This window comes from Homo sapiens, chromosome 8 (assembly GCF_000001405.40).
Source record: "Homo sapiens chromosome 8, GRCh38.p14 Primary Assembly".
Classification (NCBI taxonomy): domain Eukaryota; kingdom Metazoa; phylum Chordata; class Mammalia; order Primates; family Hominidae; genus Homo; species Homo sapiens.
In genome coordinates, this window is record NC_000008.11 from 71,238,028 (window position 1) to 71,259,937 (window position 21,910).

General features: G+C 36.7%; 1 protein-coding gene across 27 annotated transcripts in view, besides 2 other annotated features; it reads right to left on the bottom strand.

Moving 5' to 3' along the window:
• EYA1 (EYA transcriptional coactivator and phosphatase 1) overlaps positions 1-21,910 on the bottom strand; it is a 350,662-nt gene that overhangs the window by 40,595 nt on the left and 288,157 nt on the right. For 22 of the 27 annotated variants that reach the window (XM_047421528.1, XM_011517484.4, NM_001370333.1 and 19 more), the window contains one exon: positions 6,576-6,665. The exons of the other annotated variants lie outside the window; for them this stretch is intronic. In XM_047421528.1, the coding sequence (XP_047277484.1) occupies positions 6,576-6,665 (90 nt within the window). The remainder of the gene's footprint in view (positions 1-6,575; positions 6,666-21,910) is intronic. 27 annotated transcript variants of the gene reach the window in all.
• Positions 21,497-21,556: an enhancer, noted in NCBI's record as "active region_27512". NCBI's record gives its function as "activates an Ori minimal core promoter by ATAC-STARR-seq in GM12878 lymphoblastoid cells {active_cell/tissue: GM12878}" and the evidence as "EXISTENCE:reporter gene assay evidence [ECO:0000049][PMID:35858748]".
• Positions 21,607-21,706: an enhancer, noted in NCBI's record as "active region_27513". NCBI's record gives its function as "activates an Ori minimal core promoter by ATAC-STARR-seq in GM12878 lymphoblastoid cells {active_cell/tissue: GM12878}" and the evidence as "EXISTENCE:reporter gene assay evidence [ECO:0000049][PMID:35858748]".

Consider the following 21,910-nt stretch of genomic DNA (forward strand, 5'->3'; position numbering starts at 1 on the left):
CTTTTATAGGATCTCAATACTTATTTCCAAATGGCCATCTGAAGATTTTGACTTATTTAGTCTTTTCATTTACCTATATATTCTCCTTGTGTTTCATTCTTTCATTTTTTAACTGTTTACCTATTTTAGCATAGAAGCTGAATAATCTATTACTTCACTATTAATTTGCTTGGTTTTATTTAAAACATACACAATTTTTCTTTAAGTTGGGTCTGTGCCTGAGCAGTTTGTTTCTTCTCTCATACTTAGTCCAATGTCAACATTAGGCCGCATAATTCTTCACGCTATTGTAGAATTATAAAACATTTTAATAATTGGTTCAGTCAGACATTCATTTCCCATGTTTTGTCAAAAATTGCTAGGTATTTTTGCTGATTTATCCTTTCAAATAGAACTTAGAACAATTTTTTCATATTACAAAAATGAGAAAGAAAGACATCTCATTTATTGAAACCTTCCTTTATATCTCTCAGTAAGATGTCACAGGTTTATTCATATATTCTTCACAAATACTTCTTATAAGGTTTCTTCCTAAATTTCCTTTTATGATATTTTTTGTTTTTGTGTTTTAGTAACTACCGCTATTTTAAATTATAATTAAAATTTCAAATCAATTTGATTTTTGAATTCTATATTTCTTCATTTTTCTGAAGGCTGTTGTAAATTCTAAGAATATTCTAGTTGATTTTCTTCAGTCTTCTACATATCAAATTATCTACAAAAATAATTTGAATCTCTTTCATTTCATTAAGTAAAGCTTGTGTCTTATTGTACTGTCCAAAATTCCTAGAATACTGCTGAATAATAGTGCTGATAGAAGGCATTCTTATCTTGTTTTTACTTGTAATGACAGTTTGCTTCCAGTATTTTACTGCTAAGTACAATGTTTGCTATCAGTAGAATATAAAGTATTCAGAGTATAAATTTATTTATAATATATTATCTTTTACTGTGTTAAATAGCTATATTTTAAGACTGTTCTGATGAAAATCAGAGTTAAGGAAATCTTTAAATATACTTTTATATTTCTATTTTTAACTTCAGATAAAATAAAGATGACAATCTTATAAGAAATGATGAAGAAACAAGAAGAGCAATAAAAATTATTCATTAGTAATAATAAAATATGGGCATTGTTTCTTTTTGGCCATTAGTTACAATGCAGCTAAACTCAATACGCATTTATTATGACTAATAATCATTTCTTGCTTAAAAAACTTATTTTGTCCTCCCCACCCTAAACTGAGGGTTTTGATGTTACTCTTGTCAACTAAGGAAATGCACAAGGCTGAACAACCTACCTGAAAACACAGGAAGGCAAAGTCAACTCTATTATCTTCTATGAAGAAGGAAACAAAAATCGGTATTCTAGTCTAAGACAACACATAACAATTCAGTCTAAAGGATATCCATTTCATGGTCAACATATATAAGGCAACATTCTGAGTGTTATAAGGGATGTTTACTAGGATTTAAAAAATGTGGTCCTTTATGTTTGCTGAATTTGTCAGGAGAAAATCACCAAGTATACCAGTCTGTGTACAGGGTTGAAAATGACAAGTGGCATTCCATATGTGTGTACATATACATAGGGACCCTTAGGTTTGGACTGTAATTATCCATATGCTCACACCCTTTCATATGGCTACTCTTGGCTTGTGGAGGGGTTTGGAAGCAGCAAAGAACTACAGTGTCTTCCTTGCAAGCACCTGTGAGATCCTTTGGCAGCAGAGAACCAGAGCTCTAGCATCCACACAAAAGCTGAACATAGAGCATCAGAGTTTCTTCTTTATTTATAGAGAATAAAGGACTTTCTAGGTGAGTTATATTTTCCCAACTTGAGAAATCAACTTCTGAATCGGATTAAATATTTCACACTTTTTGGAAGCACAAACAGTATGTCAGTACCAAGTGCTTTACTTGAAATCGAAGTTTCTTAACATTGGCGTAACTGATATTTTACAGAAAGAATTTTTTCCTAGCTAAAAATAAACATAAATAACACATATTAAAATAATTTATAGATGATAACCTAAGTTTTAAAGTAAGAAAATATTATTGCAACTTTAAAGACTGAATTAAACCAAGGGATAATCTTCTCTTTGCTTTACAAGAAAAATCATTGCAGCTTTCTCCTTTTACATAATGCTATTACCTAAAGACCATCCACAAGCCCCTTTCCTTGGCCCTGGACTCATCAAACTCATACTCTAGTGGGACCAGAACTTTCTGCCCCAGGCCTTTTTTTTTTTTTTTAATAGAAAGGGTGAAAACAAGGGGCAACAAGTCTAGGTGTTCAAATATCAGACCCGGGCTAGGAGTCTACATATTGAAGGCCCCAAGGAATATTCATGTTGTAAATCTTGATGCAAAGAATGCTCTGGTCTGCTCCAACTAAACAATGCACTGAAAGAGTGGAGAGGGGAGTTTAGAACAGCTTTGCTACTAACGGGGTGAGCGTGGTATGTGCAATAGTTTCATGTGCCACCATCTCACAGACACGAGAGGAGGGTTCCCACTCTTCCCAATCCTTACTCTTCAGGGGTAACGGGTGACCCGAGACCAGAGATCTGGTTCCTGCTGACTCTTAAAGGTCACTCTGTCAACATGGGTTAGGATGGCAACCATAATGCCAGTGAAATCATATTCCTTAACCAGACAGAAGAAGAAAATTCAACATGAACTTAAAGCATTATTTTTATTTAGACCTGTATCCATCTTCATAAAATATTTTCTTCTAACTGTGGAAAAATCCAGCAGGAGAACTGACCAGCAGCAGGTTAAACTGAAATATTATCGTATGCTGAAGGCCTTTCCTCACTCCGTTTGAAGGTTGCCTTTCAATAAAAAGCTAACAGAAAGAACTCTTTCTCCAACCAGTCAGAAAGAGTCATACTTTACCAAAGAAGCTGAAAAAACCTCCAGTTCCATACTGTCATTCATAAAAAATGACTTCCATATAGGCATCATCGTATTGCACATGGAGAGTTTTTTTGTAAAATGATATGCAGGACGTTAGTCAGACTTAGAAATAGGAAAGCCAGACGTACACTACGGAACTAAAGTCGAAACCCTTCTCTTGGGGGGAAAATATTATTTCCTAAGATAATTATGTCTCCCTGTCACTCATGTTCCTTCATACGTCAAACATTTTTTATGGTACAGAAAACATTTTTTTCTCCTTTTTGTTTTTCCTGGTGTGTCAACAGAATTGATATAAATTGTGATTTTCTTTAAATTAAAAAAGTCACTAAGTGAGATTACAAACAAGACTTATGAAACTAAAATGAATTAACTTAGTTCTTAGAGTTCGATTAAGATATTTCTAAAGTACTTCAAAAATTATACCTTAAATTTTCTAAATCATATCCTAATAACCATTTTAAGCATGTACACTGATTCATAATATGACAAATGTTACTGAAAGCCCCTCACAGAGGGGGTGTATTTCACTAGTCAGAATGTCTTATTAAGCAAGGAGTGAACTAACCAAATTATACCAAGAGATAGCTGGCAAAAGCTAAGATTTAGAAGAAAATAAGACCAAAAGTCAACAATTAGAGTTCAGGCATCATACTTCAAGCTAACCAAGAGACTATTAAGCTCCTTGAAATTACTTATGCTATAGACCTTACAAAGCTAAAAACATGTAACTTAAATATATTAAAATATTCATGTCCCCTACCACTATCCATTGCTAGTTGGAGTGTGAAATCAGGCATTACCACATCACTTCTCCCTGATGAGATAATTCTGGTGTTCTTAGGAGCATTATGCCAATAGACATTTTTTTTTTTTTGCCAGAAAATAATTTTACTTTTTATTTTGAAGAAAACATATTTGCAATGACCAGTCCCAGGTTTGTTGAATTTCAAAAATATAAAATAAAAGATTGGCCTGGGAGCAGTGACTCATGCCTGTAATCCCAGTGCCTTGGGTGGGTGGCCGAGGCAGGTGGCTCACCTGAGGTCAGGAGTTTGAGACTAGCCTGGCCAACATGAAGAAACACCGTTTCTACTAAAAGTACAAAAATTAGCCACGCATGGTGGTGTGTATCTGTAATCCCAGCTACTTGGGATGCTGAGGCAGAATTGCTTGAACCTGGGAGGCAGAGGGTGCAGTGAGCTGAGATGGTGCCACTGCACTCCAGCCTGGATGACAGAGCAAGACCCTATCTCAAAAATAAAATAAAATAAAAAATATTGAAATAAGTAAAAAACCAATTTATTTTTTAAAATATTGTACAAATCTAGGGCAAGTAAACAATTTCCAAAGACAGACTAAATGAATCTTTCATTTATACTTTTGTTAATATCCCTAACATAAAATCAACTTTTGTAAGGCTACAAGCTTAAACATTTTCCCATGATTGTTTTATATATTTGGTTGAATTATACCTTCATTCTCTTTTCTACTTTACCTCTACTAAGGAATAGTCCTCATGCCAAAAATAGAATCTGATATTTCAGTAACTTCATAGACTGCTTTTTCTTTTTCTTTTGAAATTTGGGTTTACAGAAAAAAATACATCTCCTATACCCTAAAAACCTAGAGCTTTTAATATATTTGAGTAGTATTTCAGTCTCTATATAATCAGTGTAAATAACGTCAATAAACAAAAATCTGATTATACTACATTGAAATTGAGTTTGGAAGTTTTTTGGTCTATATTATAACAAGTTATGACTGCCTAACATCTCACTTTTCACCACCTAATTTTGGCACTGTATAAGCAAGTTTTGGCACTTTTTTTTTTTTTTTTTTTTGAGACAGAGTTTTGCTCTTGTTGCCCAGGCTGGAGTGCAATGGCGTGATCTCTGGCTCATCGTAACCTCTGCCTCCCGGGCTCAAGTGATTCTCCTGCCTCAGCCCCCTGAGTAGCTGGGATTACAAGCATTGGCCACCACACCCAGCTAATTTTGTATTTTTAATAGAGACGGGGGTTTCTCCATGTTGGTCGGGATGGTCTCGAACTCCCAACCTCAGGTGATCCAGCTGCCTCTGCCTCCCAAAGCGCTGGGATTACAGGCATGAGCCACTGCGCCCAGCCAAGTTTTGGCATTTTTAAGAAGGTACAGAGTTTTAAAACAATAGGAAATTACTACAAATTTCTTCTTGATGTTTGTTATTAACACCTATTAACATCAATAAAGGTAACAAGATTGTACCCAGGACAAAAAATCAGTCTACTCTGTATCTTTAGAAACAAATGGAAACTTAGGAAAGGCATTTTTTAACATACCAGTAAAATGTGGAATTTTTTGTGCTGCTCTCTAAGTGAAAACAATTATCAATCAGAAACAGCTTTTGAAAATAAGTATGATAATTATGTGTTTCTAAAGGCAATTAATTCTAAACTTGTCACTCAATGGGAATATTTCTACCTTAAAAAAATAGTAATGCCTTACATGTAATTTCTTCTTGAGGAAAACACTTTAAATTGCAAAAAAATTTTGTATTTTACCCTTAAGTGTAAAATAAATTTTTCACTAAGGAAGAGAAAAAATAAAGCATATTTAATAACTTTATTGCACTGGAAGTTGCCAATTCGTCTTTGAGTAGTTTCATTGCAGATGAAAAGAAATCAAAATACAGGACAGATGTTGAACAAACCGCATTTAAGTTCTGTCACACACTGGCATTTTTCAAATGATTTTGGCTCATCTATTAAATAAGGTGCATTTTGCTTGATTTTGAAAAGGGAAACATCAGGAAATATTTAAAGGCCAATTGCTGCCAATTAACTTTGATCAGTAAAAGTTCTATTTGAATCTTTCAGATTCTTCTCCTGTCTGAAATAACATACATTTATAAATCGAACAAAACAACAACTTGATGATTAATGCCTGTTGGCAGCCCTACCACAAGCTTGCTTAACAGCGGAATTTAAATAAACAACTGTCTCTATTCAGAAGAGAACGAAATGTAGTTATAGTCATATTTTCTCATAATGGAGATATGAAAAACAATATTCTCTACTCTTAAGAATGCTGCTAATCAAGACCATTGTGATTGTCAGTGCCTGTAACAATTCAGCTAGCCATCTTACAAGAGTCTGCCCTGAAATCATAATGGACCAATAAAATTAACAGCAGTGTGACATAAGCAGTCCTGGCAACCCAAACAGCAGAGGCCAGACTAAAACATCTTCCTACCAATTGGATCAGCCAGAAAGTAAAGCATCGGTCCTAATACAGTAAGAGTCTGACATAACAGTCTCAAAGAAAAAAAGAATCTGACATAACATATGCAAGTGTTACGAATTATGTTGGACATATCTTAGTGGTGATTATGTAACTGAGAAATATGTGGCTTCTGATAATCAACAAAGTTTAAGATTCTTGAAATCAAATTTTAATCTTTACTACTGGTCATGTAGGATCTAACTCTGAAAATCAACAGCCAAAGTAAAGCAAAATAGAAATCCCATAAAGGCAAAACACATTGCCATATTACCAACAAACCTCTGTCTCACTATTCCAATTATACATTAAAAAATAATATCCTATCTTTATTTTAAAACCAATCACCTATTTTCAGACATGCAAAAATATGTATTAAAAATTAGAACTTACTTCTAAGTCATTAAAAAATAAATGTGTGTCTGCCAAGTTGAAAATCATTTCTTCCATTCGCAGTCCAAGGGAAACTGAAGTGGGTGGATCCTAAAATAAGAATATGACAGGTGAAGAACATGTATACTTCAGGTTACATGAAAGAGAGTGTCTCATTAAGAGGAAGCAGGCATTGGGAGAGGCTGAAAGCAAGAGACACAGAGAGAGACTTGGGCAACAGCTGCTTATTTTAGTGTGCATGACTTATTCTGTGTGCAAACTTCAGGGACTTATTTTATAAAAAGAGCCCCAAATGTTGATGGTGCTTTACACACTGAAGAAAAAACTCTTTCTTTACTTTTTTAAAATTTAAAATCTAGGGTTACTTAGACATATAAAATAAAGGAAATTCAACTTTTTATGTCTATTTCAGGAGCAAAAAATTCAGTGAATCAAGTAGCCACTGGTTATGTTACGCCACAATCCATTAAGAGCATCTAAGTGCACTGTCACAAATATCAGAAAATAGATACACTATAGCAAGCTTGCCCAACCTGCAGCCTGCAGGCTGCGTGCAGCCCAGTACGGCTTTGAATGCAGCCCAACACAAATTCATAAACTTTTCTTATAACACTATGTTTTAAGTGATGATTTTTTTTTTTTGAGACAGAGTCTCGCTCTGTCACCCAGGCTGGAGTACATTGGCGTGATCTCAGCTCACTGCAGCCTCCATGTCCCAGGTTCAAGCAATTCTCCTGCCTCAGCCTCCCGAGTAGCTGGGACTACAGGCGCGCACCAACACGACCAGCTAATTTTTTTTTGTATTTTTAGTAGAGACGGAGTTTCACCATGTTGGCCAGGATGGTCTTGATCTGACCTCATGATCCGCCTGCCTCAGCCTCCCAAAGTGCTGGGATTACAGGCATGAGCCACTGCGCCCGGCCTAAGTGATGATTTTTTTTTTTTTTAGCTCATCAGCTAACATTAGTGTTAGTGTATTTTACGTGTGGCCTCAAACAATTCTTCTTCTTCCAGTGTGGCCCAGGGAAGTCAAAAGATTGGACAGCCCTGCACTATAGGTTAATTTCAGAAGGGTAGTACATAGTAATTTTAATCTAGATAACTCTCTATCATTATTTGCATTCATTAAACCTGTCAATTTTAAGTGTACTCAAAGCAGGAAGTGATGGCCACTCTGACCCCACCAGGCACTGTCCAGCTCAGGGAGCTGATCTTAAGATTCACATGACACTGTACGGGCATCAAACAGCCCATGCCATACTCAGAGAGCAGTGCTACATTCCACAGTGCACCGTGGTTTCTATCTAAAAATTCAAGTGTTGGACATTAGCAGTGAGTAGTCAGCCTCTCCCTACAAGCCACCCTGATGACATCTACTGGCACTGAAATGAACTTGGGGGATATGCAGGTATTTGCAGTTTTATCCTGTATTTACTGTGTATCAAATCCAAGAAGCAACATGGTTCATGGCTGAAGATCCTGTATAGGAAGTAATGAAAGATAACATTTCCAGGAAGTATACAAGGCTATAAAATGAATTTTTTAAGGGTTTATTGGCATTCTATTAATAATACCAACTTTCGTATGTATGCCATTTTCAATTCTTCCAAAGAACAATAATTTATGATATACTATTTTATTGTCACGGCAAACCTTTGGAATAAGTATGGAATCTCCTTGCATCATTATGTAACCAGGGGGATTGTAAGCAGAGAAACTGCCTTCAGGTAGGCCCCATTGGGCAGGTATGCCATGTGTCATGATATGTGTGTCATGTGCCTTTGAGTCTTAGAGTCAAGAACATACAATCCAAAGAAAAGACTTTGATTCGATACTGCCCAATGTCAACTTTGTACACTATCTACCTTGTTTTCTGAACACTCTAACTTTATCTCCAATATCTAGACATGCCCGTGTGTTACCCCTACTCTTTAACATCTGCCATGCCTGTTAAGTTTGGGAAGTGGCAAGAAGTGGTGAGAGAGGAGGCCTAGACTGTAGGCCAGACCCTGCCTTTGCTTTCCCACTTAGGTGTCATCCTCTCATCGAGCCTGGTTTGTTCACTAATAAATCTGAGAGCAAGATGGCAAACACAATATTCTCACATAGACTAATAAAAAAAATCTTGTCTTTCATTTGTCAGAATCGTACATGTTTGTACAGTTAGGAGAGAGCAGGGGCTGGAAAGGGTGGGAGATGGGAGCGGAGCCTTGCTGGGCACCTGCCAGGGGCCCATCTGCTGTAGCCTGGAGGTCAACCCAACCCAACCTGGCTATTCCTCCAGCACTGCCCACCCCTAGCACTGCCCACACCCCTCCAGCACTCCCCACCCTCTTGGCACCACCCACACCCTTCCAGCACCTCCCACATCCCTCCAGAACTTCTCACCCTCTTGGCACTACCCACATCCCTCCAGCACCTCCCACATCTCTCTAATACTTCCTACTGTCTTGGCACCGCCCACATCCCTCCAGCACCTCCCACATCCCTCCAGCACCTCCCACCCTCTTGGCACAGCTCACTTCCCTCTAGCACCTCTCACCCCCTTAGCACTACCCACACCCTTCCAGCACTACCCACATCCCTACAGTACATCCCACCCCCTTAAGCACTGCCCCCACCTCTCCAGTGTGGCCCAAGTTCTACCTTCCAGCAGCCCTAGAGGAGGAACAGAGTACGTGAAATATGGCAGGATGGTGCAATTCACTCACCTCAGTTCCTCTCCTGCCTGTGCCTTTTCTGCCAGCTGACTGACAGTGGAAGGGAAGCAGAGGACATAGTATTGCCAAACGTCAGGGGTTAGATTGGCAAATACCCCAGGGTTGATAAGAAGGCAGAGAGGAAATAAAGATGCAGAGGCTGAGTGTCTAAGAGTTCTGCTGGGAGGGACAAAGGAAAACGATTCCCTCAAATTTTGTGTATGATGATTCATACTCCTTAGCATTCTGAAATTGTCCCTTTTTAATACACCTGAAATCTATGAAATTCTATGAAATTTCATAGGTTTTAGGAGAATTACAGTTTACAAATTACTGTAAAGAAAAACTAACTCATTTACTCTTGGATTTATAAGAAATTGCTCATTCACAAGGAGTTTAAGTATCAGTAGGCATGCTGGAAAAAGCAAATGCTCAAATAGACCCTACAGCTGAATTAACCTGTAGGGGAAGCTCAAACAGATGTGTCTAAAACAAAACACCTGACTAAGGTGTTTATTCCCTCTAGCTCAGGCCAATAAAAATACCCTGACTTGTCTCATAACCATGTCAATGAATCTTTTTATGTGGCAAGGATGGAGCCTCACCACATTTATTTAATTGCCAATTTTAAAATTTATGTGCCATAGTATTGTTACTTTTGAAAAAGTATTATTTCTCCTTGATACGGTTGCTTATTTATATGACCATTGAAAGAATTACTCTATTGTTCGTTAATATATAGCATACTTTAACTTTTCTTCATAAATTACAGTAATGACTTGCTAGTCAGAATACTAATAAATTTTAAAGGCTTGTTCAGTCTAGTGGTAAAATACAACACAGATGTTGGTCTTATTTACCTCTTAATGTTAATCTCTTTTGTTATTAGCTGTCATTCCTCAACAGTTTTTATACCTGCCACTCCAAGATATTGTTTTGAAACATTTACTACACCAACAGAACAGTCTGGCAGCTAACTGGAATGAGACAATTTTAGAATAGGAAGGGGGTTCTAGTTGAGAGCAGTATTTTTCAGACATCTTTGAACCACAATGCTCAGTAAAAAACACAATTAACACTGGGATCTAAGAATCTCTCTTATGTGCACACACACAGCTGAAATATATTTGCCAAAGCAAGATTTTGCTCACTGTGTGGATATACTCTGACACTGTCCATTTCACAGCCCTGTCTCAATCTACAGTTTGAAAGGCAGAGCTCTAGAAAACACCTACTCTTTGACTTTAGAAACAGAGCACGGAGTTCCTAGAGGGTTGTGATTTGTGCGTGATGACCCAGCAAGCAGAGTGCAAAGCCATCTCACCCTGAGTGTTTTACCCAAGAGGAAACTAGCAGAAGGACAGATAGATAATTCTGCTCATGGAATTGCTTACATATTCTAGCAACTGGAGTTCTCATATCAAGGTTAGATTTTATTTTCCTATTATAATAGCTAATACGTTAACACTGTTAAAATTTCTAAAGTCTCATACGAGTACAAGTCAAATGTGAAAAAAGCTAACATTGAACAGTTAATAAATTACTCTGGCTTGATGGCTTATTTTGGCATATTAAGAACAAGGAAAAAAACACGTTCTTAAACCAAAACTGAGATGTTAAAATCACCAGGTCTTTAGTTTAATCTTACTATTTTTATAATACATAATTTTCTTGCAATAACAAATTCCAGAGCTGCAGTTATAAAAGGACTTCTTTTAAAACACCATTTTTTGTTATATCACTTTCAAAAAATTATTTAGAGCTTTGCCTCCACTTCAAAGTAACATCTCATTTTAAGTCAATCTCATTGCCAAATGTTCTCATTCTTTTCAAAACGTGGCCTTTCTGTGGCATATGCCACTGCTGTTTACTCTCTTCTTGACATTTCTCCTCTATGACAGCAATCTTTTATGGGCATTTTCCTAGAATCTATGTATACATCATCTGCTTGTTAAATGTCTGTATTATTCCATTCATGCTTCTAATAAAGACATACCCAAGACTGGGTAATTTATAAAGAAAAGAGGTTTAACTGACTCACAGTTCAGCATGGCTGGGGAGGCCTCAGGAAACCTACAATCATGGAGGAAGGGGAAGCAAACATATTCTTCTTCACATGGTGGCAGCAAGGAGAAGTGCAGAGCAAATGCAGGGAAAAGCCCCTTATAACACCATCAGATCTCATGAGAACTCACTATCATGAGAACATCATGGAGGTAACCATCCCCATGATTCAATTATCTCCCACTGGGTCCCTCCCATGACACATGGGAATTATGGGAGCTACAATTCAAAATGAGATTTGGGTGGAGACACAGCAAAACCATATCAATGACGTTGGTTCCTAGGACTTTATTCTTATCCTTCCATCTCTCATTCTGTTCAGATCACCTTGTGGACTCAAGCACACTGATGGCTTCAACCACCACCCACTCCCCTCTATCAGATCTTAGATCTCAACTGGAGGCTCATATATCAATTACTTATTGGTCATTTCCACCTAGATGTCCCATAAAGCACCTGAAATTCAATGTGTGGCAAGTTGGAGTCATCACATTTCGTCTGGACACCTACTGTATTCATTCTTTAGAGGAATGGCATCCTACCAACCCAGACCTTGGCATTTTCCTAGCCACCTCTTTTTAGCCCCATATTGAATCAATTTCAACACTCTGTCACTCGGACCATAAATTTCAGCCTCCCTTATTGTCATTGCCATTGTTCTTTGCTTTCTTGTTTTTTTTTTTTCCCCTTAGCCTTGTGTCTTTTGTGGATATTTGGTATGGTCTCCTTCACTGGGGTCTATTCCTAGGTTGTCACTATCTTCATTCCAGCCTCTCATCTCTTTCAAAAAACATTCAAACATTTAACAAGTACAAAAGACCCGTATATGTCTAACTTTTGCTTACATATTCAAGATGGCCTGTTTCTGATTTTTCAAACTGTTGTCTTGATCATGAAATCCTTTCCTCAAAACACAACTAGGCAGAGGCCTAAACTGGGGCAAAGAATCTGTCCACACAGGTTCATGAACCGTGGTCTCAGATGGAGCCTGTACACTCACATCTCCATCCCTACAGGCAGCGCTCCCCGCTGGGCCCCTTTCCCAGTTCCGCAGCTCCACCTCCCTGATCCTTGCTGGCTGGGCTCCACAGTTGCTGGTACCACAGCTCTATGTGTTCTTGTCTCGGCAGGCCAGGGGTTTAATCCCTGTATCTTCCTCCTCCTGTTTTTTAGATTCAGAGTATGGTTTTCTTTCTTTTTAGTTTTAGTATGAAACTGTTATTTGCAGAATCAAAAAGAGGGTATCAATCCTCTGAAAAAACATAGTGGGAGGCTCTGTTTCTATTTCGTGTAGAATGTTTTGTTCAATTAGATTTTTCTCTCTCTTTACAGCCTTTAAACAACATTTTAAGCTTTAGGCTATGATTCCTTGTTTTTTCCTATCCCTATATCCTTATCTGTATATCCTTGGTACTCAACACAATGCATGTCATAAAGGCTTTCCCAAACTTTGGTGGAGGAATAAATGAATGAAAAGCAATAAATAGAGAATATTTCAAATAATTCCAGTGAAGAAAAGAAGAAAATACTAAATTTTACCTTTCATTAGCTGTTAGTGTTGTCAGTGAAAAAACAATTCCTAATGATCTAGCCTAGGGAAAAAATGGGCACTTGAATCTGAAAATCTCATTTGATCTACATAAGATAGTATTAAACATTAAACGTGTTCACTAGTAAATGCTATCTACCTGATTAAGGAAGAGCCCATTCTTAGAATAGCTGCATAAGAAGCCTTACTTTTCTATTTAATGAAGTGGATAATATTACCATAAGGTCAGCATAACACTGATTTTGTAAACTCAGTAGTGGTATGTATTACACCATTTTGTAAAATATGTTCTTATGTGCCATGAAATTTACTTCTCTGGTAGAAATTGAATAGTACAGTGAAGAGGCTCAAAAGGAAAAAAATACAGTCAACTGTTTTATCAATTTTCTTGTTTAACGAAGAAATTGTACATTTACTATAGTTCTTATGTACAGGAAATTCTTCTAGTGGAAGCCTTCTTAAGTTGTTCTTCACCCAAACAAAACTCAATACACAACATCTAACTTCACACCCACACACAGGAATGAAATCTAACCCTGCTCCGAAATTATTTGGATATGATATTAAATTGCAAATGTCTACTTAAAGTCACTAAAGTGAAGTGAAGGAACTTGTTGTCATCCTAGGCTACCCATGGCTGTTTTCAGTACATCAAAGGCAAATTATGTCTACTAATTCAAAGTAACATTATGTAGAAAAAGTAAATAATGATGAAATTGGCTGAGTGTCTGTAGAACCAGGAATAAAACAATTGTTTTGCCTTCATCCTCTGTCAAGTGGTCTTTAATTATCCCATTGCCTCAAGATCTCTTTCTCTTATTTCTACAACACAGAACTGCTCGCAGAGACTAAAATTTTCATCATGTACCCAAATCACCAGCATCAACCCTGGTCCACTACCTTGAATTGTTTATTGATTTTTTTTTTAATCCTCATCACAGCTATCACAGTAGATCTTGATTAAAATGTTAAAAAGGAAAAATATTCTGGACAAAAGCAGTGCACAGAAATACTGAAATGCCATTAAATACAGTCTCTAGAGAGATTAATGTCTGTCAGCTTTGAATTCAAATGTTGAAAATCTGTAATTGGGTTTGAAGTAAATAAAAGAAAAGGGTATATAAATGCATGTGTGTACTAGATCATCAGAGGACTGGGATATTTCCTCTTGGGGCCCTGCTTTGTTTCATCAGTGAGCTAAGGCATGTGATAAACTTCAAGTATCATTAAAAATGGACTTTTTAGTAGGCACAATACATATAGCACTTCTGATTCTTTAATTTACCAAGACTCTCACACACACCAGATGAAGGCATTGTTGTTTTTGCAGGGCTAAGTCATTTGCTTCCAACAATGCCTTCATCTGTGTATGTGAGAATCTTGGTAAATTCAAATTTCTGAAGTGCTATATGTATTGTGCCTACTAAAAAGTAAAGGTATTCCTTTACAACAATGGAAAATGGACTAACACACTCAATCTCTGCAGCACTACCATAAAGGAGTCATACATTCAAACTAGACTTTCGCTGTACTTACTACTCAAGGCACTTTCGATAGAATGTTCATACAATTCCTCATACCAATTATTTTTGAGGTGACCATATTTTTAAGAGCTCAGTCATCAGTAAAGCTAATTTAGGTGGAAGTTAAACTAGACGATGCAACATGAGCACTCCCAGAAGGGGCCATCACTGGTTCTTCCAAAAGATGTCAACCAAGCTTTTATCACCAGGAAAGATGACCCAACTCTAGGAAGCTGGCAAAAGGTGTCCTATACTCTGAAGATCTAGGAACTAAGAGGAAGGTAGGATCATTCAGATGGGATCTGAGCAATGCACCAGTTCAACTGAAACCTAGAACTATTCTTCAAAAAAATCAATTACTTGCATAGCCATGTCATGTGATTGCTTTAAGTTAGTCACATATACCTTTCTGCTTATACCATTTAATCATTTAACAGTGACAATTTGTGAACATAGCTTAGCCCAAATCCAATCAATTAACAAATGACTGGGGGGAATAGGTCTTGGCAACATCTTGACCCTGACCAAGTTTATCTACAAATGTATGCCAGTAATACATGGTTATAAACAGGAATTATTGACATAGAGTCCAAATTTAGTGCCTTCAATGTAAAGTCCCTGAAATTTTTCAGTGATCATAAAATGATCCAATACTTTAGCATTTCAGGAATGACATAATATTTTAGAAAGGTTTTGTCTGTGGTCAAGTCGAAGGATAAATTTGTGAAAGCACTTTAAGAATATCAAATTAACATAAAATATCAGCTACCATAATACTAAAGAGAAGTAGAGTCTTCCAGTATCAGTTCTGGAGTATCTGTATCAAGTACCTGGTATTCTGTCCGCTCAGGGTAAAATGCATGTGACTTGGACTGTGCCCACTCCAGGAAGAAGATAAAGAGTTTAAAATTTGGGGGTATTATTTAAAAAATAAAAAAGGATCCTTCTCCCACAAATAGAAAGTTTGGTTGAATCATCAAACTGATTATATAGGGGAAAGGTGGTCTATTCTTTGGCTCTCTGATGTGAGTATAGCATATTTCTGTAATGTAAATAGTTGATTACTTCCCAGTCAAGATTAGCATGTTAGATTGTATATAAATCTCTAAATCTCTAATAAATATTTATTCTTACACTGAGACAAAGAAACTACCCGTAGAGCAAATGTCCTCAAGTAGGATAGCTGGAATCTGCCTTTAAAGTTAGCCACCAAGCATAGCTATAGACTAACCATGTTAATTCACTGATCCTATCAGTTAGTTCTCTCACTTGAAACTAAGGGTGGTAAATTGAACTTCACCACACTATTGAAAAGATAACAAAGGAATGTGGCACCTGCCAGGTGACTCAGCATGAGTCACTCAAGACACCTACTTGTCCACTAAAGGTAACGAGGAAGCCTTAATCAAAAATATGCAATAATACTGTAGAGCTATTCAAGAAGAGTTGATACTTGAGAAAATATCAAAATTCAGCAAGTGGTTTAGTTTCATCTCAAAACTTCACCTCAGCAAAAATAGCTCTGAGCTAATTATCTGCAACAGGAACTGTCAGTCTTTTTTTCTGGCAGCAAGGCTACAGATATTTGATTCAGATCAATTAAGAATCTGTGGTTCATAAAACTTCCAAACTCTTGAGTTTTCTTCTTCTTAGTCAACCTCCTTAGAGCTAAAACGAAAGAATGTACAGCATAAGTAAAAACATTCTGTAATGGACTGCTGAAGGAGCTTCTCCAACTGGAGTACTGAAGTTTTAAAAACAACAACTAGATGCTCAAGGATATACCCCATCTATAAAGTCTTGGCCAAAAAAAAAAAAAAAAAAAAAAAAAGAAAAGGAAACTGAATCTAACTAAGCAAGCTCCTAGATCTAGCTATCAGATTGTAGGAAATACAGAGGACAAAGAAACATGTTAAATAATACAATAGGGTTGCTGTCAAGAAAACCCAGACTCCCAGGAACTCTGTAGGACAGACAGTCTGGTTACTTCAACAGAAATACACAAGGTTTATAAAAAGGGATTGAGTGAGAATCTATAGATTATAGACACTTAGGAGACATATAATAAACTGTAAAGTAAATAAACAAAACTACTGGAGAAAAACACTTTATAAACTAGAAAGAAAAGGAAATTACCCAGCAAAATAAAGCTCATATATGAAAAGCCCACAACGAACATCATACTCAATGGTAAATGTCTGAAAGTTTTTCCTCTAAGATCAGGAACAAGACAACCAGGCTGCTTTTGCCACTTCTGTGTAACAAAACATAGAAGTTCTAGCCAGAAGTATTAGGCAAGAATAACAAATAAAAGGCGTCAAAGTTGTAAAAGAAGAAGTAAAATGATATCTGTTTACAATGACATAATTTTGTGTGTAGAAAGCCCCGAAGACCTCCCCCCACCCCGCCCCCCACCACACACACAGAGTCTGTTAGAACTAATGAATACATTCAGCACAGTTGCAGGATGAAAAAACAACACACAAAAATCAGTTGTGTTTCTATACACTAACAACGACTAAGCCAGGAAATAAATTAAGAAAATGATTCCATTTACAATAGCAGAAATGAAAGAAATCAAATACTTAGGAATAAACTTAAATAGGGAGGGAAAACACTTGTACGCTGAAAAATTTTAAAAAATTATTGCTAAAAACATTAAAGAAGATACAAATAAATGGAAAGACATCCCATGTTCATGGATGAAAGATATAGTGTTAAGATGTCAATACTATCCAAAGTGATGTACAGATCTAATGCAATCCCTATCAAATCCCCAATAGTATTTTTTTGCAGAAACAGAAAACTCCATTTTGAAGTTTATATGAAATCTCAAGGGACCTTGAAGATCCAAAACAATTTTAAAAAATAACAAACTTGGAAGTGTTACACTTGCCAATTTCAAAACTGATTACAAAGACACAGTAATCAAAACAATGTGGTTCTGGCAAAAATACAGATGTACAGACCAATGGAATATAGAGAGAGACCAGAAATAAGCCCTCACATGTATGATAAGATGATTTTCAATAAGGGTGCTAAGACCATTCAATGAGGAAATAATAGTCTTTTCAACAAACGGTGCTGGGGAAACTGGATATCCACATGCAAAAAATTCAAGGTAAATCGTTACCTTACACCATATGCAAAAATTAACTCAAAATAGATCAAAAACCTAAATGAAAGACCTAAAATATAAAATGGTATAGGAAAAGCTTCATGACATTGGATTTGTCAATGACTTTTTGGATATGACACCAAAAGCAAAGGCAATAACCAAGAAAATAAATTCAAAACATCAAAATGAAAAATGTGTATAATCAAAGGAAACAACAGTGAAAAGGCAGGCCACGGAATGGGAGAAAATATTTGAAAATCATATATTTAATAAGGGGTCAATATCCAGAATATGTAAAGACCTCCTATGACTCAATAAAAAAAACCCTGATTTAAAAAATGGGAAAAGGATCATCTCTAAAGAAGTTATACAAATGGTCAAAAAGCACATGAAATATGCTCATCATCATTATTCATGAGGGAAATGTGAACCCAAACCACTGTGAGTTATTATCTCACAGCCATTAGAATGGCTACTATCAGAAAACAAAAAACAGAAAATAATAAGTGTTGATGAGGATGTGGAGAAATTGGAATCCCTGTGCACAGCTGGTGGGAACATAAAATGCTGCAGCTGCTAAGATAAACAGTACAGCAGTTTCTCAAAAAATTAAGTATATAATTACTATATGATCCCACAATTCCCCTTCTGATTATATACCCAAAAAATACTAAAAGCAGGGAAGACATTTTGCATACTCATATTCATAGCAGCATTATTTAAAACAGTCATAGGTGGAAGCAACTCAAATGACCATTGATAGATATATCAAAAAAATAAAATGTGGCATATACATACAACAGAATATTATGTAACCTTAAAAAGGGAGGAAATTCTGACATGTTATAACACGGATGAACCTTGAGGACCTTGTCCTGAGTGAAACCAGCCAGTCACAAAAAGTGAAGTACTATATGATTCCACTTATATGAGGGTACCTGCAATACACAGAGACAGAAAGAATAGATGTTGCCAGGAATTGGGGGGAGGGGAGAATGGGGAGTTGTTTAATGGGTTTAGACTTTCAATTTTGAGAGATAAAAAACTTCTGGAGATTGGTTTTACAACAATGTGAAGGTACTTAAAACTACTGAACTGTATACTTAAAATGGTTAAGAAGGTAAAATTTTTTATGTGTATATCAAAATTAAAAATAAAAATTGGCCAGGCACGGTGGCTCATGCCTATAATCCCAACACTTTGGGAGGCCAAGGTGGGTGGATCACCTGAGGTCAGGAGTTCAAGACCAGCCTGACCAACGTGGTGAAACCCTGTCTCTACTAAAAATACAAAATTAGCTGGGCATGGTGGCGCATGCCTCTAATCCCAGCTACATGGGAGGCTGAGGTAGGAGAATCGCCTGAACCCGGGAGACGGAGGTTGCAGTGAGCTGAGATCACTCCACTGCACTCCAGCCTGGGCAACAAGAACTAAACTCCATCTCAAAAAAAAAATAAAATAAAAAATAATTTTAAATATAACTATTGGTTAGACATTTAATGATATTACAGAATTATTTTTAATTTCACTAGATGGCTAAGGTGCTGAATACTATTTATTACTTCTATTCTATTCTTTTAATGAATTCCTAAATACATACTCAACTCTATACAAATTAAATAATGTGATATCTGGGATTTGTTTTGAAAAATCATCCTTGGACAGGACCAGGAAGCAGAGGGATACGATGAAGATATACATAAACAAGATTGGCTAGGACTTGATATTGTTAAAGCTGGAGTGGTTACATTGGGTTTCATTATACATATTATTCTATCTACTTTTCTATGTTTGCAAGTTTCTATAATGAAAAGTTAAAAAAAATATAAAAATATTCACTAAGACAAGATTGGCTGTTTTTGGTGGTGAAACTATGGATTAAAAATATTTATTCTGAAAATTTAAAACACGTGCAAGCCATACTTTTAAAATGCCAAAAACATTTTAAAGGCCATAATGCAAAAGCCTGCCAAAGTTCCTCAGCATATCACCTTTTATTGAAAAGAAGGTGCTAGGGCATACTTGGGTAATCTGTACCCAGATATAAGTGAGGATTTGGAATATACACAAGAATGTATGTCAGACGATGCTTGGCTTCTATTCACTCTATTCATTTTTACCATATGGGATGTTCTTTTCCAGGAACCCAGAGGAACTCCTACATTTTTGAAGCCACAAGATCATCTCATACATTTAGCAATAGCGGTGTTGAATTGCAGTGCTGATCAGCTGCAAAGGAGAAATCCCGGTGTAATTTAAGAAGAGCAGTAACCCTAGAAACATTTCATTTAAGGCTCCTGGCATTTATTTTTTGGTTGTATGTCTCCTGTGGATCCTGATTTTTTTTTTTCTGATTCACAATGCTAGTGTTATCATCTGACATCCTATTACTGGCTATTTCTTGCTAGTTAAATGATGTAGCTACTAGAGAATGGCTCTCATGAATAATACAGAGAGACTTGTTGCCTTCTTAGCACTGTTATTTCTTTGGAGATTCTGCAGTTTTACCCTTAGTGGATTTAGAGTGGCATTAGTTTAGAATAGTTTTACCCTAATGACAGACTATTATTGAAGATTCATCCATCCCCTACCAAACAGCCTCCTCTGTTAATTTAAAAGCTCCTTGAAGGCAGAAATTTTGGCTAGGCACCTACAACATTACTGTTTATGTATTCTATAAATCATAAAAGAATGACTTTCTGAATGACTCATTAATGTCAGGCCAGGAAACAAATGGTGACTCAGGCAGGAGAGAGGTGTGCAGCCAGGCATGTGTTCTGGGTACTGGAGTCCATATAGCCCTGGAGGTTTTGCGTGTGCAACTTGAGAAGGGTGCCATTTGGTGGTACAATTTTCTGAATTACTTCATGGATGTTTTTAATGATCATTTATCCACAGGGAAACTCATCTCTGCTAGAAGCCTAACGTTCTGAGTACCACCTGATACTTCTATGGTGGAGTCTTAAACTTTGGGTAGTCCTAACATGGAGACCACATGGTATTAGCAGGGGACCTTACCCACTACAGAAACCACCAGGAATTTTTCTAGGTCCCCAGGAAGGAGCGGAAGGGAGTACATTCTCACATGCCATTTTGCTTTATTCTAGTGACTAGGTTAAACTTTATGCTGCTCATTTTATTTTGTTGCCCATTTATGTGGAGAACTATTATAGTTACATTTGCACTGCTAATTCTAGTGTTTGTACATGATATTTGATCTTAACTATCTTGTAAATAAGGACTGTGAAAACTGTTTTGAAGGCGGTATGTATTTATCCTCAATTCTCTTGACCTCTTTGGAAAGTTAAATGTTTTATGTTGTAGTCATGTTCGTGAGGCAGCTTACAAACATTGAGGAAGGGAGAAGAGGTAAAATCTAATTTGACCAACTGGACAGCTGAAGCTAATTGTGTCACAAAGTTGCTTAGTGACCCCATTCAGAGTGCTTGAGAAAAGGATTGCAATGTGGAATTTATAGTGTTTTTTAAAGAAAAATGTAAAGCAGCCAGACACTATTTTACTGATAGTATTGGGTAAGCACACATCATTTTTCCTATAAATCCAGCAGCTTTCTCCCTACAACAACAAAATACCTTTTTTACCCTGAACTCTGTCTATGGTCAACCAAGCCAGAGCCGTATCACATTCTCTTGGTACCACTAAGGACTTTCTACAATCAATCCTCCCTCTCCCGCACAGCAGACTGGAGATGCCCGCCCACCACAGTTCATGTTACCTTATTACACAGATGCCAAAGAGCACCAAGAGTCACCTGTGGACACACTGGTATCTGTCCTAACTTCTCTTGCTGTCATTTACCAGTTCAGTGAGTTCCCACTCCTGGAGCTCTCTACTGGCCCCATACCATTTAAGCACAGTATTCTGGCAAAATGCATAAAAGAAACACGTAAGACTCATGAAAGTCGCACAATTCAGCCTGCTGGAGAAAGGTAGAGTTATGCGTTGAACTAAAATGATCAGAAAGAGGCAAGAAAAAATGAACACTTCTCACTTCCTGGCTTCAAATGACAATGTAGTCTATTTTTAGTGGCAAACACCAACCCCTCACAGAAGTGAGGCTGATTCAGAAATGATCTTCTTGACCCGTTTTTATTTACTTTCAGTTCAGATAGTTCACGGTCTTTGGAGACTCAAAACAGATAGAAAGTTGAAGGGAAACCTGTTGTTTATCTCTTTTGGGGCTTTTAGAAGGATCCAGAATATATTTCTGAGTATAAAAACAAAATATCTCTTCTCCTTTCTCTAGAAACGTTAAAGGTAACCATTTTCTAACCATGAAAGTATCTCTCCTTTTTATGTAACTATGTTTTAAAAGATACTTCCCAAGATTTTTATTGTTGATTTAATAATGCCACAAGTGA